General features: G+C 41.5%; 1 protein-coding gene and 1 long non-coding RNA gene across 7 annotated transcripts in view, besides 2 other annotated features; one reads left to right on the plus strand and one right to left on the minus strand.

Annotated features, from left to right (window-relative positions):
- ASRGL1 (asparaginase and isoaspartyl peptidase 1) overlaps positions 1-16100 on the plus strand; it is a 63984-nt gene that overhangs the window by 15600 nt on the left and 32284 nt on the right. For all 6 annotated transcript variants that reach the window (XM_011545265.4, NM_001083926.2, NM_025080.4 and 3 more), the window contains exons 3-4: positions 3278-3420; positions 3940-4097. In XM_011545265.4, coding sequence (XP_011543567.1) covers positions 3278-3420; positions 3940-4097 — 301 coding nt within the window. The remainder of the gene's footprint in view (positions 1-3277; positions 3421-3939; positions 4098-16100) is intronic.
- Positions 2292-3018: an enhancer, noted in NCBI's record as "NANOG-H3K27ac-H3K4me1 hESC enhancer chr11:62122811-62123537 (GRCh37/hg19 assembly coordinates)". NCBI's record gives its function as "activates a minimal SCP1, AML or CMV promoter by ChIP-STARR-seq in naive H9 embryonic stem cells {active_cell/tissue: H9 hESC(naive)}" and the evidence as "EXISTENCE:reporter gene assay evidence [ECO:0000049][PMID:30033119]".
- Positions 3019-3745: an enhancer, noted in NCBI's record as "NANOG-H3K27ac-H3K4me1 hESC enhancer chr11:62123538-62124264 (GRCh37/hg19 assembly coordinates)". NCBI's record gives its function as "activates a minimal SCP1, AML or CMV promoter by ChIP-STARR-seq in naive H9 embryonic stem cells {active_cell/tissue: H9 hESC(naive)}" and the evidence as "EXISTENCE:reporter gene assay evidence [ECO:0000049][PMID:30033119]".
- Positions 5470-7884, minus strand: LOC124902682 (uncharacterized). Its single transcript, XR_007062698.1, has 2 exons — positions 7658-7884; positions 5470-5834 (listed from the first exon to the last, which is right to left on the minus strand). It is a non-coding gene; the product is annotated as an uncharacterized LOC124902682 (long non-coding RNA).

The following is a 16100-nucleotide window of genomic DNA, read 5'->3' on the forward strand; positions in this document are numbered from 1 at the left end:
GTCTGATGACTTGAATGTTAGCTCTTTTGTTATGGTCCCACTGGTTGGCTGGGCTCTGTTCATTTTGGTTTTTTCCAGGCCCTGTTCTGTTGTTCAGACTGAGTGATTTCTTAGTCCAGTAATTCTTCTGTCTTGTCTGTTCTGCTGTTAAGCCCATCCATTGAGATTTCTTATTTTGATTATTATATTTTTCAGCTCTAACTTCCATTTGGTTTTTCTTTACATCTTATATTTCTTTGCTGAAACTTTATAATTTTTTTAGTTATTTCAAGTTCATTGAAGCATTTTTATGATGCTTTTTTTTTTTTTTTTAAAGGGACAGGGTCTTAGTCTGTCACCCAGGCTGGAGTACGGTGGTGTGATCACAGCTTACTGCAACCTCAAACCCCTGGCTCAAGTGATCCTCTTGCCTCAGCCTCCCAAGTAGCTAGGCCTTTGGGTGTGTGCTACTATGCCCAGCTAATTTTTTTTTAAGAGATGGGGTCTTGCTGTGTTGTCCAGGTTGGTCTTGAACTAGGCCTCAAGAGATCCTCTTGCCTCAGCCTCCCAAAGTGCTGGGATTACAAAGCACAGGTATGAGCCACCATGCCTGGCCAATGGCTGCTTTAAAATTCCTGTCAGGTAATTCCAACATCTGTGTCATCTTGGTATTGTCATCTGTTAATTCTTTTTCCTTAGGTTGAGATGTTCTTGGTTCTTCATATGATGAGTGACTTTCTGTTGTATTCTAGACATTTTGCATATTATGTTTTAAGACTTTGGATATTATTTATATAAATCTTTTATCAGGTCTTCTCTAACCTGCGCTGATCAGTGTAAAGGGATGCCTTGTTATTGCCAGATGGAAAAGATGTGAGCTTCTTTGGCAGAAGAAAGTAGATGTCTAAGCCACACACCTGGATTTGATTCCTTGCTCTTTACCCAGAAGACATTTGATATTGGGAAAGTTGCTTTTCTGGTTTCCCCACCTGTTAAACTGGCATGTAATCAGGGCAGCAAACACTTACTGTTTGCCTACACATGCTAGACATTATTCTAAGTGTTTAATATGCAATACCTACCTCATTGATGGTTGTAAGGATTAAATGGGTTGATGTTCTTACCCATTTTACACATGAAGAAACAAGCACAAAGAGATTGAGAAGCATAGCTAGATTTGTAGGCATTATCTGGGCAGAGAAATATAGAGAAAGGGTGCTAGTGGTAAAAACAACAGCATGTGCAAAGGCACAGAGACACGTGGGCTCCTAGTATACAGTAGCCCTCCGTTATCTATGGGGGATGTGTTTCAAACCCCCAGTGAGTGCCTGAAACCACCAATGGTACTCAACCTTATATCGGCTGGTTTTTTTTTCATACATACATATGATAAAGTTTAATATATTAATTAGCCGCAGTAAGAAATTAATAACAATAACTGATAATAAAAGAGAACAATTATAACAGTATGCCAGCATCACTACTCTTGTGCTTCGAGACCATTATTAAGTAAAATAAGGGTTTCTTGAACACAAGCACTGAGAGGTGCTACTGCAGCTGATCTGCTTGGTATTCGAGACGGCTGCTAAGTGACTAACAGGCAGGTAACCTATACAGTGTGGATATGCTGGAGAAAGGGAGGAATCACGTCCCTCTGAAGGACAGAGTGGGATGATGCTAGAAGTGTTTATTTCTGGAATTTTCCATTTAATAATTTGGGGCCATGGTTGACTGAGGATAACTGAAACCTCAGAAGCAAGGCTGTGGATAAGGGGACTACTATCTTCAGGGAAACCTTATTTCAGTAAAATATAGCCAAGGAAAGAAAATGAAGCTGGAAAAGCAGGTCAAAGGCCAGGTTAGGAAGGGCTTTGTACTTTTTTATTTTGTAGGTCATGGAGTGCCAAGTCAGATTTCTTTTATTTTTTTTTTTGAAACGGAGTCTCACTCTGTCACCCTTGGCTCATGGCAACCTCCGCCTCCCGGGTTCAAGTGATTCTCCTGCCTCAGCCTCCCAAGTAGCTGGGATTACAGGCACGCACCACCACGCCTGGCTAGTTTTTATATTTTTAGTAGAGACAGGGTTTCACCATGTTGGCCAAGCTGGTCTCAAACTTCTGACCTCGAGTGATCCGCCTCGGCCTCCCAAAGTGCTGGGATTACAGGCGTGAGCCACCACACACAGCCTCCAAGTCAAGATTTCTCTCTTTTTTTTTTGAGATGAAGTCTCGCTCTGTCGCCCAGGCTGGAGTGCAGTGGTGCAATCTCGGCTCACGGCAACCTCCGCCTCCCAAGTTCAAGCAATTTTCCTGCCTCAGCCTCCCGAGTAGCTGTGACTACAGGTGCGGGCCACCATGCCTGGCTAATTTTTTGGATTTTTAGTAGAGACGGGGTTTCACATGTTAGCCAGGATGATCTCGATCTCCTGACCTCATGATCTGCCCGCCTCGGCCTCCCAAAGTGCTGGAATTACAGGCATAAGCCGCTGTGCCCGGCCAAGATTTCTCTCTTGAAAAAAAATGTTCCTCTGGCAATGGAATAGAGGATGGATTAAAGGGGGCAAATTAGAGGAAAATCTGGAGCCATTTCTAAATTCTTTTTTTTTTTTTTTTTCATTGATCATTCTTGGGTGTTTCTCGCAGAGGGGGATTTGGCAGGGTCATAGGACAATAGTGGAGGGAAGGTCAGCAGATAAACAAGTGAACAAAGGTCTCTGGTTTTCCTAGGCAGAGGACCCTGCGGCCTTCCGCAGTGTTTGTGTCCCTGGGTACTTGAGATTAGGGAGTGGTGATGACTCTTAACGAGCATGCTGCCTTCGAGCATTTGTTTAACAAAGCACATCTTGCACCGCCCTTAATCCATTCAACCCTGAGTGGACACAGCACATGTTTCAGAGAGCACAGGGTTGGGGGTAAGGTCACAGATCAACAGGATCCCAAGGCAGAAGAATTTTTCTTAGTACAGAACAAGATGAAAAGTCTCCCATGTCTACTTCCTTCTACACAGACACGGCAACCATCCGACTTCTCAATCTTTTCCCCACCTTTCCCCCCTTTCTATTCCACAAAACCGCCATTGTCATCATGGCCCGTTCTCAATGAGCTGTTGGGTACACCTCCCAGACAGGGTGGTGGCGGGGCAGAGGGGCTCCTCACTTCCCAGTAGGGGCAGCCGGGCAGAGGCGCCCCTCACCTCCCGGATGGGGCGGCTGGCCGGGCGGGGGGCTGACCCCCCCACCTCCCTCCCGGACGGGGCGTAAATTCTTAATTCTTGCTTTTCAACTTCTTTTTGGTTTTAGGTTGTGGGTCTGTCTTGAACACAAATGGTGAGGTTGAAATGGATGCTAGTATCATGGATGGAAAAGACCTGTCTGCAGGAGCAGTGTCCGCAGTCCAGTGTATAGCAAATCCCATTAAACTTGCTCGGCTTGTCATGGAAAAGGTATATGTGACTAAAGCAGCCTTTTCCTAATGAATTGTTATTGTTATACTGCAGTGATAAGGGCTCCAACTGTGCAGAAATACTTGAGATCACTGTTCTCCTAAAAATATATACAAAACAGATGCAATGTATTTGAGTTTCTCAAATCAGCCATGATTTTTGACTAGGAATCACTTGACCAGTGAATGATTACTTTATCTTCCTGTATTTTCTTCACACCACATACAAACTGACCAGACCAGCTATTTAATAGCATGTGTTAAAGATGGATTGAGTTCTCTAAATTTAACGTATATGTAAATCGCATCTCTAGTAATGTCCCATCAATTGGGGTCTTTTCTTTTTTAATACAAAAACTCAGTCAGGCTTTTTTCAGCATACAGAAAAGCAAACCACTGGAATTTGTATTTTTGATCCTTTGCACCCAGAGAGAAGTAATTATTTCAACACAGTTGGAACAGTTAAAAAGATTTAAAATTTTCAAAAAAACAATCATTTTCTCTTTTCTTTCTGGCTCAGACACCTCATTGCTTTCTGACTGACCAAGGCGCAGCGCAGTTTGCAGCAGCTATGGGGGTTCCAGAGATTCCTGGAGAAAAACTGGTGACAGAGAGAAACAAAAAGCGCCTGGAAAAAGAGAAGCATGAAAAAGGTGCTCAGAAAACAGATTGTCAAAAGTAAGTCTTACCTGTGGCTCGCATTATTTGGGAGTTATTAAAATATGAAAGTTTGGCAAATACCTGGTTATCTACAGTTCTTTTGTTTTGTTTTGTTTTGTTTTGTTTTGTTTTGTTTTGTTTGACACGGAGTCTCTCTCTGTTGCCCAGACTGGAGTACAGTGGTGCGATCTCGGCTCACTGCAGCCTCCGCCTCCCAGGCTCAAGCGGTTCTCCTGCCTCAGCCTCCTGAGTAGCTGGGACTACAGGCACACACCACTGCACCCGGCTCATTTTTTTTTTTTTTTTTTTTTTTTTAGTAGAGGCGGGGTTTCGCCGTGTTGGCCAGGCTGGTCTCAAACTCCTGACGTCAGGTGATCCACCTGCCTCGGCCTCCCAAAGTGCAGGGATTACAGGCATGAGCCACCGAGCCCAGCCTCTGACATGATTTAGTAGAAGAATTTCACGTATTAATGTATCAGTTATCTGGATTCTTCTTGATCAGTTTATCTTAAATAGACTAAACAGGTTATCTGTGATCTAGTGTACCTTATAAACTTAAGTACTCTTTCATAGTTTAGAGAAATCAGCACAACTCTTAGAAATTCAAATTAGTCATTTTCTGAATTACAGTTTTCTGTTACAGATTTTGAAATCCTAAATAAAGGACTGCTTATTTAAAGCAAAATTTGAAAGTAAAATGTGAATATGGCCTGGGAGTTTATAATGGAATTAAATCTATTGACTCCGCATACTTTTTAGAGTAATGATATTTAATCAGAGGTATACCTTGTATCACCTAGGGAGCTTTTTCAAAATATGCATGTTTAGGCCACCCCGCCAGAAGAATCAGATTTAAATAGATCTGAGGTGGAGAAGCCAGACAGGTATATTATAAAAAGGGTTCCCAGGTAATTCTGATGTGTTCCTCAGGTTCAGAGTCTGTTTTAAAAGATTGGCCTTGGCCGGGTGCGGTGGCTCACACCTGTAATCCCAGCACTTTGGGAGGCCGAGGCGGACGGATTGCCTCAGCTCAGGAGTTCAAGACCAGCCTAGGCAACACGGTGAAACCCCGTCTCTACTAAAGATACAAAAAATTAGCCAGGCATGATGGTGCGTGCCTGTAATCCCAGCTACTCGGGAGGCTGAGGCAGGAGAATCGCTTGAACCCGGGAGGCAGAGGTTGCGGTGAGCCAAGATCCCACCATTGCACTCTAGCCTGGGCAACAAAGCGAGACTCCGTCTCAGAAAAAAAAAAAAAAAAAAAAGATTGACCTTATGTTGGCAGCTGTTGACAGCCTGACTGAGTGTGCTTTTGTGTCTGTGGGCTAGAGTCATAGCAGTGGGGTTGCCTTATGCATGATTTACGTTCATTTTGAAAGATGTCACCACATTGCTTTCCAGAAATTTATTAACACCTCTCCACCAGCCACTGCTGCTTTACACGTAAGCAAGAGGGGTTCCTGCCATGGTCCCTGCACTTTAAAGGACCCTCATACCATAAACACACAAAACAATTGACTTATTCCAGAACACATAGGACCCCTTTGTCACTCAACATTGGCACAGCTTGACCAGTAACCCCAATCATTGCTCTTGTGACTAACACCACTCAGCCATCAAGGAAATCTCCACATCCGTTGCTCTATGTCTTGGAAGCAAAAGGCACCTGAGTTCAAAGTTTGTGGGTAGTGCCACTGTTGACATCAGAAATGGACATTGCTTTGGAGTGTGGGGAAGATTCGAACAGCAGAAGGACTTAGGTAAGAGAAAAAGACAAATTAATTAACTGATGAAATAGATTCTTGCATCACAAAGTATTATTTCCCTGTAGTGCTAGGTATCCATTTTCTTGCCTCTCTGCATGTTGGAATATTTAGTTCTGAAGATTGTTACAGAGAGGGTTCTGTGGTGTAATGGTTAGCACTCTGGACTCTGAAGATTTTCATGAGTTAGTGTAGTGTCTGTAGAAGTTGCACATGGGGACTGTTACTCTTCAGTTTGTGTATGGGTAGGTCTAGAACAGCACCATCCAGTAGAAATACTGTGAGAGCCACAAATGTAATTTGACATTTTCTAGTGGCCACATCCACAGTGGATCACATCTGAGGTCAGGAGTTCAAGACCAGCCTGACTAACATGGTGAGCCCTGTCTCTACTAAAAATACAAAAATCAGCCAGGCATGGTGGTGGGCACCTGTAATCCCAGCTACTCAGAAGACTGAGGCAGGAGAATCGCTTGAACCCAGGAGGCAGAGGTTGCAGTGAGCCAAGATCGCGCCATTGCACTCCAGCCTGGGCAACAAGAGCGAAACTTTGTCTCAAAAAAAAAAAGTGAAATTAATAATATATTTTATTTAACCAAATATATCCAAAATATTTCAACATGTAATGCATATAAGAAATTATAAGATGTCTTGCTCTTTTTTTGTACTAAATCTTCAAAATCTGGTGTGTTTTACACTTACAGTACATCTCACTGAGGACAGCCACATTTAGCTAGCAGCCACTCAGTAGCCACATGGAGCTGCAGCTTCTGTAAGTGCACAGCACAGGTCTAGACAGAACCTGTGTGAGAAAAACTGATAACAGAGAAAAACAAAAAGCTCCTGTAGTTGCTAACTCTCCGTGTTAGCAACTACATGGATGTTGACTGTTAGAATTATGAATGGTTTTATTTTGATGAAAATATTTAAAAGATGCAGTTAATTTCAAAAATACAGTGGTAAAATTTTTAGCTTTCATGTAATTTTAGCCTTTATGTATTGTATTTACTAATTATAATTCATATTTTAACTTTAACATTAATAAAAATTTTGTATATTTTACAATTACTTTTGTAACTTTTTGGAAATTATATCTGCAAATTACTTCTTTTTTTTGTTTTTTGCTTTTCTTTTTTTTTTTTTTGGTTTTGTTTGTTTTTGAGACAGAGTCACACTGTGTTGCCCAGGCTGGAGTGCAGTGGCACGATCTCGGCTTACTGCAACCTCTGCCTCCCAGGTTCTAGCAGTTCTCCTCAGCCTCCTGAGTAGCTGGTATTACAGGTGTGCGCCACCACGCCTGGGTAATTTTTGTATTTTTAGTAGAGAGAGGGTTTCACCATGTTGGCCAGACTGGTCTCGAACTCCTGACCTCAGGTGATCCGCCCACCTCGGCCTCCCAAAGTGCTAGGATTATAGGTATGAGCCACCATGCCCGGCCAACTTTTTTTTTTTTTAATTTTTTTAGATTAGCTCTTTATTTTTTTATGAAAATACATTCTCATTTTTTTATACTTTGGATATAATTATATTTCACTTTTAATCCCTTAGATTATTGAAAATGAGTATAAGTCAAGATTTTGGTAGAAAAAGAATGCTATAAAGTGGAGCTCACAAAAGAAAAAATGAAAAAGAAAGTAAAAATCTTCAAAGAAGCAGGCTGCTTGCATTTTCCAACACTGGAAGCAGTAAAAGCAAGCAGTCTTCTTCCAGGGTGACCCACATAAAATTCACAAACAAGACATTACAAAGGTTTTGTTCAATTAAGATCTACTTATTAATCAAAACAATTAAAATTAGTAAGAAAATTATTCTCACCAAATCCACAGTTTGAACAAGTCAGATGAAATCATGGCAACCTCCTTCTTTACTAACGGAAGATTTAATTGCTAATCATGAAGAATCACACACAATAAAACACACACCCTGTTACAGGAATTGAGGGAAAGAGGCCGAATAAACAATTGATTTTACCGGAAACAGAAAACAATATAAAATACTGATGTAATGTTCTTGAAAGAATAATACAATGTATCCAATATTTAGCCAAGCCTAATCATTCTTTTCATGACACCGTCAGTACAGTGTGTGCAAAAAACAATGGAAATTTTCTAGGTTTCAGTAAAAGAGATTTCAAAATTTGGTAAAATGCCAAACATATAATTAAGACAAAAATAATGAAAGTAATGATCATTACCTAGGATAGAGAATTCCAACAGATTATGAGTTTAATGGAGAATAAAGTGAGACATGAAATCATTTGTAAAAATTTTTTTGTCAATAAATTTTTTGGTTTTGTGGGGTTTTGTTTTTTTGTTTTTTTGAGACAAGGTCTTACTTTGTCACCCAGGCTCGAGTGCAGTGTTACAGTCGTAGCTCACTGCAGCCTCAATCTCCCAGGCTCAAGTGATCCTCCCATCTCAGCCTCCCAAGTAGGTGGGACTACAGGCATGCACCATGCCTGGCTAATTTTATTTTTAGTAGAGACGGGGTCTTGCCATGTTGCCCAGGCTCGTCTTAAGCTCCTGAGCTCAAGGGATCTTCCCTCCTGCTTGGCCTTCCAAAGTGCTTTGGTGAGCCACCAAACCTGGCCAATTTTTTTTTTTTTTTTTTTTTTTTTGAGACAGAATCTTGTTCTGTCAACAGGCTGGAGTGCAGTGGTACAATCTCGGCTCACTGCAACCTCCGCCTCCCAGGTTCAAGAGATTCTTCTGCCTCAGCCTCCCGAGTAGCTGGGACTACAGGCGCATGCCACCATGCCCGGCTAATTTTTGTATTTTTAGTAGAGAGGGGGTTTCACCATGTTGGCCAGGCTGGTCTCAAACTCCTGACCTCGTGATCTGCCTGCCTCAGCCCCCTAAAGTACTGGGATTACAGGCGTGAGCCACTGTGCCCAGCCCAAAGTTTTTTAATAAAATAGTTACTCAGTTCAACTAGAGTGTACCGTGGTACTGATAGTACCATGAGTGGACCATTACTGCTTGAAGAAAAACAAGCCTAAATCATTCCATGTTTCATTGGCTTTATATCTCCTCCTTAAAGTGTGATTTTTGAATTAAGTGAAGAATTGAAAGAAAACTTTCTGTTTTAGACACTAATTTCAAGGATTGTTGAAGGCAAGCCTGTGATAATGGAGCAAATGTGGTTGGTAAATGAGAGATGTACAAGCAAGAAGCTTGGCTAAGAATCCAGAAGCATACTATGTGACATATACAGCCCATCATTTGAAATTTGTTTCTAGGATGCATGACCTCCACTGTGCCACTAATGGTAGTGCTTTGGAACAATAGAGGGAATAAATGCAGTGTCTTCTAGATATGCCCAAAGATGGAATATCTTGACTAAACTTATATTTCACCCTATAACAAGTCTCAGGTGCACGATGAGAATACCAACGAAATGCTGTTGAAGTAATTAAATTGAATTTAGATAAGAAGAATTCAGCAAAACCATAAAAAGTCTTCAAAGAGCAAATCATGGACTTTAACAAAAAGTGAAATTAATTTTGAACTTGTATTATTTAGTATAAATCTGATTTCTATTAATAAATTTAACAAAACTGTAACCAAAAATATATATATATTATATAAAATATATATAATATATATTATATAAAATATATAACATATATTATTTATATAATATATATTATATAAAATATATAACATATATTATTTATATAATATATATTATATAAAATATATAATATATATTATATAAAATATATATTATATATTATATAAAATATATATAATATATAATATATATTATATAAAATATATAATATATATTATATAAAATATATATTATATATTATATAAAATATATTATATGTTATATATAAAATATAATATATATTATATATATAAATTTATATATATAAATTTAAATTTTTTTTCTGGGAGTATCTACTTGCTTATCTGACATACACACACACACACACACACACACACACACATCCATATAAATATATATATGTGGCTACTTCACCTTTAAAGGATTTAATTTTTTTTTTTTTTTTTTTTTTTTTTTTTTTTTTTTTTTTTTTTTGAGACAGAGTCTTGCTGTGTCACCCAGGCTGGAGTGCAGTAGCACAATCTCGGCTTACTGCAAGCTCCGCCTCCAGGGTTCACGCCATTCTCCTGCATGCCATTCTCCTGCCTCAGCCTCCCGAGTAGCTGGGACTACAGGCGCCCGCCACCACGCCCGGCTAATTTTTTGTATTTTTAGTAGAGACGGGGTTTCACCATGTTAGCCAGGATGGTCTCAATCTCCTGACCTGATGATCTGCCCACCTCAGCCTCCCAAAGTGCTGGGATTACAGGCGTGAACCACCATGCCTGGCCGATTTAAATTTTTTTTAAGTTTATAGAAACAAAATCAAAACTGCATGTGAGATATACAACAAAAATGATGTTCCAACAAAATCCAGGGAAATTGAAACAAGGGAACAAAAATATTTACCTAGCTTGAAGAAAATTCATAGAGAGATAATCCCTAAACCAGTTTCTATAGAAACTATTTTTCAGTTCAGTATAAATCAGAGCATAGTATCATCTGAAGAGAGATTTGAACAAAATTGAATAACATTCTCCTGTTTTTGATTTTCTTCAGAATATACCAGCATCAAAACCTAAAAGAATTTATCTGCATAGACCTAGATACTGTTTAAAAGATTATAAAAAGACTATAAGTGATTGTGATTTATATGATCAAGTTAAAAATTTTAATGCACTCTGCAATCACAATTTATATATAAATCCATATAGTATTTGAGTGTGATCATGTAAAAATCAGTATTCATTTCTAAATCTAAGTACTGCTTTGAGAATTTTGTTGGTAATTCCAGTTGCTGCTGCTTCAGCAGAAGGAAGCTTCTCTAAATTAAAATTAATTAAAAACTTGCTAAAAACTATGTTGACTCAAGAAAGATTGTCTTTTTTGCCATTTTGTCAATAGAAGTCACGTTAAGTATAAGAACATCATCAGGCCGGGCTTAGTGGTTCACGCCTGTAATCCTAGCACTTTGGGAGGCCGAGGTGGGTGGATTGCCTGAGCTCAGGAGTTCACAACCAGCCTGGGCAACATGGTGAAACCACGTCTCTACTAAAAAATACAAAAAATCAGCCAGGCGTGGCAGTGTGCACCTGTAGTCCCAGCTTCTCGGGAGGCTGAGGCAGGAGAATTGCTAGAACCCAGGAGGCGGAGGTTGCAGTGAGCTGAGATCACACCACTGCACTCCAGCCTGGGTGACAGGGTAAGAGTCCGTCTCAAAAAAAAAAAAAAAAAAAATCAGTACTCGCTGGAATGAAGCCAAGAAAAAATATTTTTATGGAATAAATACATAATTTATTAAATGTGTGTGTGTGCGCGTGCATGTGTGCGTGTATGTGTGTGTGTTTGCCATTCATCTGCCATCACCAGCCGATTAACAAATGACCCTGGTATACACAATAATAACTAAGTTAAGTCGTCACTGGTAGTTTGTCAACTTTCAGTCATGTGAAAACCATAGCTTTTTAATATTTTTCTAGATAAAATAGTATGGAGGTTCCTAAAGAAATTAAAAATAGAACTACCTTATAACCCAGCAATCCCACTTCTAGGCATATACCCAAAGGAAATGAAATCACCATTTAGTAAAGATATCTGCACTTCCATGTTCATTGCAGCATTATTCAAAATAGCCAGGATATTGAAACAACTACAGTGTCTGTCCATCAATGAAGAATGGATAAAGTATAATGTATATATACAGTGGAATATAATTCCTTGGTAGGAAAAGGAGGAGATCCTGCCATTTGCAGCAACTTGATACTAAGTGAAATAAGCCAGTCACAGAAAGATACTACATGATCTCACTTAAATATGGAATCTAAAACAAAAAGAAACATTGAGGCTGGGAGTGGTGGTGGCTCACGCCTGTAATCTCAGCACTTTGGGAGGCTGAGGCGGGCAGATCACCTGAGGTCAGGAGTTCAAGACCAGCCTGGCCAACATGGCGAAACCCCGTATCTACTAAAAATATAAAAATTAGCTGGGCGTGGTGGTGGGTGCCTGTAATCCTAGCTACTTGGAAGGCTGAGGCAGTGGAATCGCTTGAACCTAGGAGGCAGAGGTTGCAGTGAGCCGAGACCACGCTGTTGCACTGCAGCCTGGGTGACAAGCAAAACTCCATCTCAAAAAAAAAAAAAAAGAAAGAAACATTGAATACATAGAAACAATGAATGGAATGGTAGTTACCAGGAGTGGGAGAAATGGGAAGGTGTAAGCCAGAGGGTACAAAATTACTGTTATGTAGCATGCGTATGTCTGGAGAAGTATAATATTAGGACTATAGCTAATAATATTGTGTACTGGAAATTTGCTAAGAGGAGATTTTAGAGGCCAGATGCAGTGGCTCATGCCTCTAATCCCAGCACTTTGGGAGGCCAAGGTGGGCAGATCACCTGAGATCAGGAGTTTGAAACCAGCCTGGCCAACATGGTGAAACCCCACTTCTACTAAATATACAAAAATTAGCTGGGCATGGTGGTGGGCGCCTGTAATCCCAGCTACTCGTGAGGCTGAGGCAGGGGAATCACTTGAACCTGGGAGGCAGAGGTTGCAGTGAGCCAAGATCACGCCACTGCACTCCAGCCTGGGCAACAGTGCAAGACTCCGTCTCAAAAACAAAAAAAAGGCTGGGTGCGGTGGCTCACACCTGTAATCCCAGCACTTTGGGAGGCCAAGACAGGCGGATCACGAGGTCAGGAGTTCAAGACCAGCCTGGCCAAGATGGTGAAACTTCATCTCTACTAAAAATACAGAAAAATTAGCTGGGTGTGGTGGCACGCACCTGTAATCTCAGCTATTTGAGAGGCTGAAGCAGAGAATTCCTTAAACCCAGGAGGCAGAGGCTGCTGTGAGCTGAGATGGCACCACTGCATTTCAGCTTGGGCGAAAGAGCAAGACTCCATCTCAAAAAAATTTAAAAAGTAGATTTTAGGTACTCTTACCACAAAAAATAAAGAAAGGTAATTGTGAGATGATAGGTATGTTATTCTAGTTGACTGTAATCATAATTTCACTATGTATATCAAAACATTCATGGCTGGGTGTGGTGGCTTATGCCTGTAATCCTAGAACTTTGGGAGGCCAAGACAGGCAGACTGCCCGAGCTCAGGAGTTGAAGACCACCCTGGGGCCAACATGGTGAAACCCCGTCTCTACTGAAAGACAAAAAATTAGCCGGGAGTGGTGGTGCATGCCCATAATCCCAGCTACTCAGGAGGCTGAGGCAGGAGAATCACTTGAACCTGGGAGATGGAAGTTGCAGTGAGCCGAGATCACACGACTGCACTCCAGCCTGCGCCACAGAGCAAGACTGTCTCAAAAAAAAAAAAAAAAGTTCACCTTATATACAGTGAAACATATATACAAGAAAAATACCGATTTTTCAAGATACATTTACCACAGTAACAGGATAGAACATACTTATAACTTCCCAATATTAAATATATGGTATGTGGGCCTCCAGTTGTATTTGTATTGTTGCCATGGCCCCTTGCAAATGTTAGAGGTGGGCCTGCCACCAGCAGGGACTGGGAGAACCCTCCTTCCTTATCTAACAGGTAAAGGGTAACACTGTTACTTTAATTTGCTCTTCCCTGACAGTGAGTTTGAGCATTTTACATTTGTTTATGGGTTTTTCCTTTTTACAAATTTGCCTAGTTTTGTCCTACACTCATTTTTTCCTTTGAATTATTTTTTCCCTTTCTTATCAGTCTCATTGTTTTTTCTTTTACTTTTTTAACATTCTTTATAGATAGATGGGATTTCTCTATGTTGCTCAGGCTGGCCTTGAGCTCCTGAGCTCAAGTGGTCCTCCTACCTCATCCTCTTGAGTAGCAGGAACTACAGGTACAAGCCACTGTACCTGGCTCTTTCTTATGAGCCTTAAGGTTATGTTCTGCTGTAAATAAAATTTAAAAACCCAAATCTGCTGTTTTTATTTTGCTTTTGCTATGGTATTTTTGCCGTATAAAAGATTTTAGGGCCAGGCACGGTGCCTCACGCCTGTAATCCCAGCAGCTTGGGAGGCTGAGGCGGGTGGATCACTTGAGCCCAGGAGTTTGAGACCAGTCTGACCAACATGGTGAAACCCCGTCTCTACTAAAAATACAAAATTAGTCGGGCATGGTGGCGCATGCCTGTAATCCCAACTACTTGGGAGGCTGAGGCGGGTGGATTACGAGGTCAGGAGATCAAGACCATCCTGGCTAACACGGTGAAACCGCATCTCTACTAAAAATGCAAAAAATTAGCCGGGCATGGTGGTAGGTACCTGTAGTCCCAGCTGCTCGGGAGGCTGAGGCAGGAGAATGGCATGAACCCGGGAGGAGGAGCTTGCAGTGAGCCGAGATCACGCCACTGCACTCCAGCCTGGGCGACAGAGTGAAACTCTGTCTCAAAAAAAAAAAAGAGAGAGATTTTAGGGCTAGGCGCAGTGGTTCACACCTGTAATCCCAGCAGTTTGGGAGGCTGAGGTGGGTGGATTACTTGAGGTCAGGAGTTTGAGACCAGTTGACCAACATGGTGAAACCCTGTCTCTACTAAAAATACAAAATGAGTTGGGCGTGGTGGCGCATGCCTGTAATTCCAGCTACTTGGGAGGCTGAGGCAGGAGAATCACTTGCACCCAGGAGGTGGAGGTTGCGGTGAGCTGAGATCACACCATTGCACTCCAGCCTGGGCAACAAGAGCAAAACTCCATCTCAAAAGTGAAATAAAATAGGCCAGGTGCAGTGGCTCACACCTGTAATTCCAGCACTTTGGGAGGCCGAGGTGGGTGGATCACAAGGTCAGGAGTTCGAGACCAGCCTGGCCAACATAGTAAAATCCCATCTCTACTAAAAATACAAAAACTAGCTGGGCATGGTGGCACACGCCTTTAGTCCCAGCTACTTGGGAGGCTGAGGCAGGAGAATAGCTTGAACCCACGAGGCAGAGGTTGCAGTGAGCCGAGATCATGCCACTGCACTCCAGCCTGGGCAACAGAGCGAGACTCCGTCTCAAAAATAAACAAATAAAAATAAATTTAAAAATTTTTAATTTTTTTTTTCTGGCAGGTGGATTACTTGAGGTCAGGAGTTTGAGACTGTAACCAGTTTAGGGTTACAGTAGCTCCCCCTATCTGCGGTTTCACTTTCTGTGCTTTCAGTTACCCACACTCAACCGCGGTCTGATGTTTTGAGAAAGAGACCACATTCACATAACTTTTACTACAGTATATTGTTTTAATTGTATTATTTTATTATTGTTAATCTCTTACTGTGCCTAATTTATCAATTAAACCTTATCATAGGTATGTACATACAGTATAGGCGAAAACAGTGTTGAGGTCAGTGCTAGCTGAGGTTTCAGGCATCCACTGAGGGTCTTGGAGCGTATCCCCTTCAAATAAGGGGGGACTACTGTTTTACACCTACTGCTGCTGTGAACACTTGTGTATGCTTTTTTGGTGAACACCTGTCCACATTTCTGATGGACAGATACACAGGTGTATAATTGCTGAGTCATGGAATGTGCATATGATCAGTTCCAGTAGATACTGTGAAATGATTGAAGGGGTGGCCTGCCCCTCCACACCTGTGGGTGTTTCTCGTCAGGTGGGACGAGAGACAGAGAAAAGAAAGAGACACAGAGACAAAGTATAGAAGAAAAGTGGGCCCAGGGGACCGGCGCTCAGCGTACGGAGGACCCACTCTGGCACTGGTCTCTGAGTTCCCTCAGTATTTATTGATCATTATCTCTGCCATCTCGGAGAGGGGGATGTGGCAGGACAATAGGGTAATAGTGGGGAGAGGGTCAGCAGGAAAACGTGAGCAAAGGTCTCTGTGTCATAAACAAGGTTAAGAAAAGGTGCTGTGCCTTGATGTGCACGTATACAAACATCTTGGTGCATTAAAGAGCAGTATTGCCACTAGCACATCTCAGCTCTAGCCCTAAGGCTGTTTTCTCCTATCTCAGTAAATAGAACATACAATCGGGTTTTACACCCGAGACATTCCATTGCCCAGGGATGAGCAGGAGACAGATGCCTTCCTCTTATTACAACTGCAAAGAGGCCTTCCTCTTTTACTAATCCTCCTCAGCACAGACCCTTTACGGGTGTCAGGCTGGGGGACGGTCAGGTCTTTCCCTTCCCACGAGGCCATATCTCAGGCTATCACATGGGGAGAAACCCTGGACAATATCTGGCTTTGCTAGGCAGAGGTCC

This window comes from Homo sapiens, chromosome 11, assembly GCF_000001405.40.
Source record: "Homo sapiens chromosome 11, GRCh38.p14 Primary Assembly".
In the NCBI taxonomy this organism is placed as follows: Eukaryota; Metazoa; Chordata; class Mammalia; order Primates; family Hominidae; genus Homo; species Homo sapiens.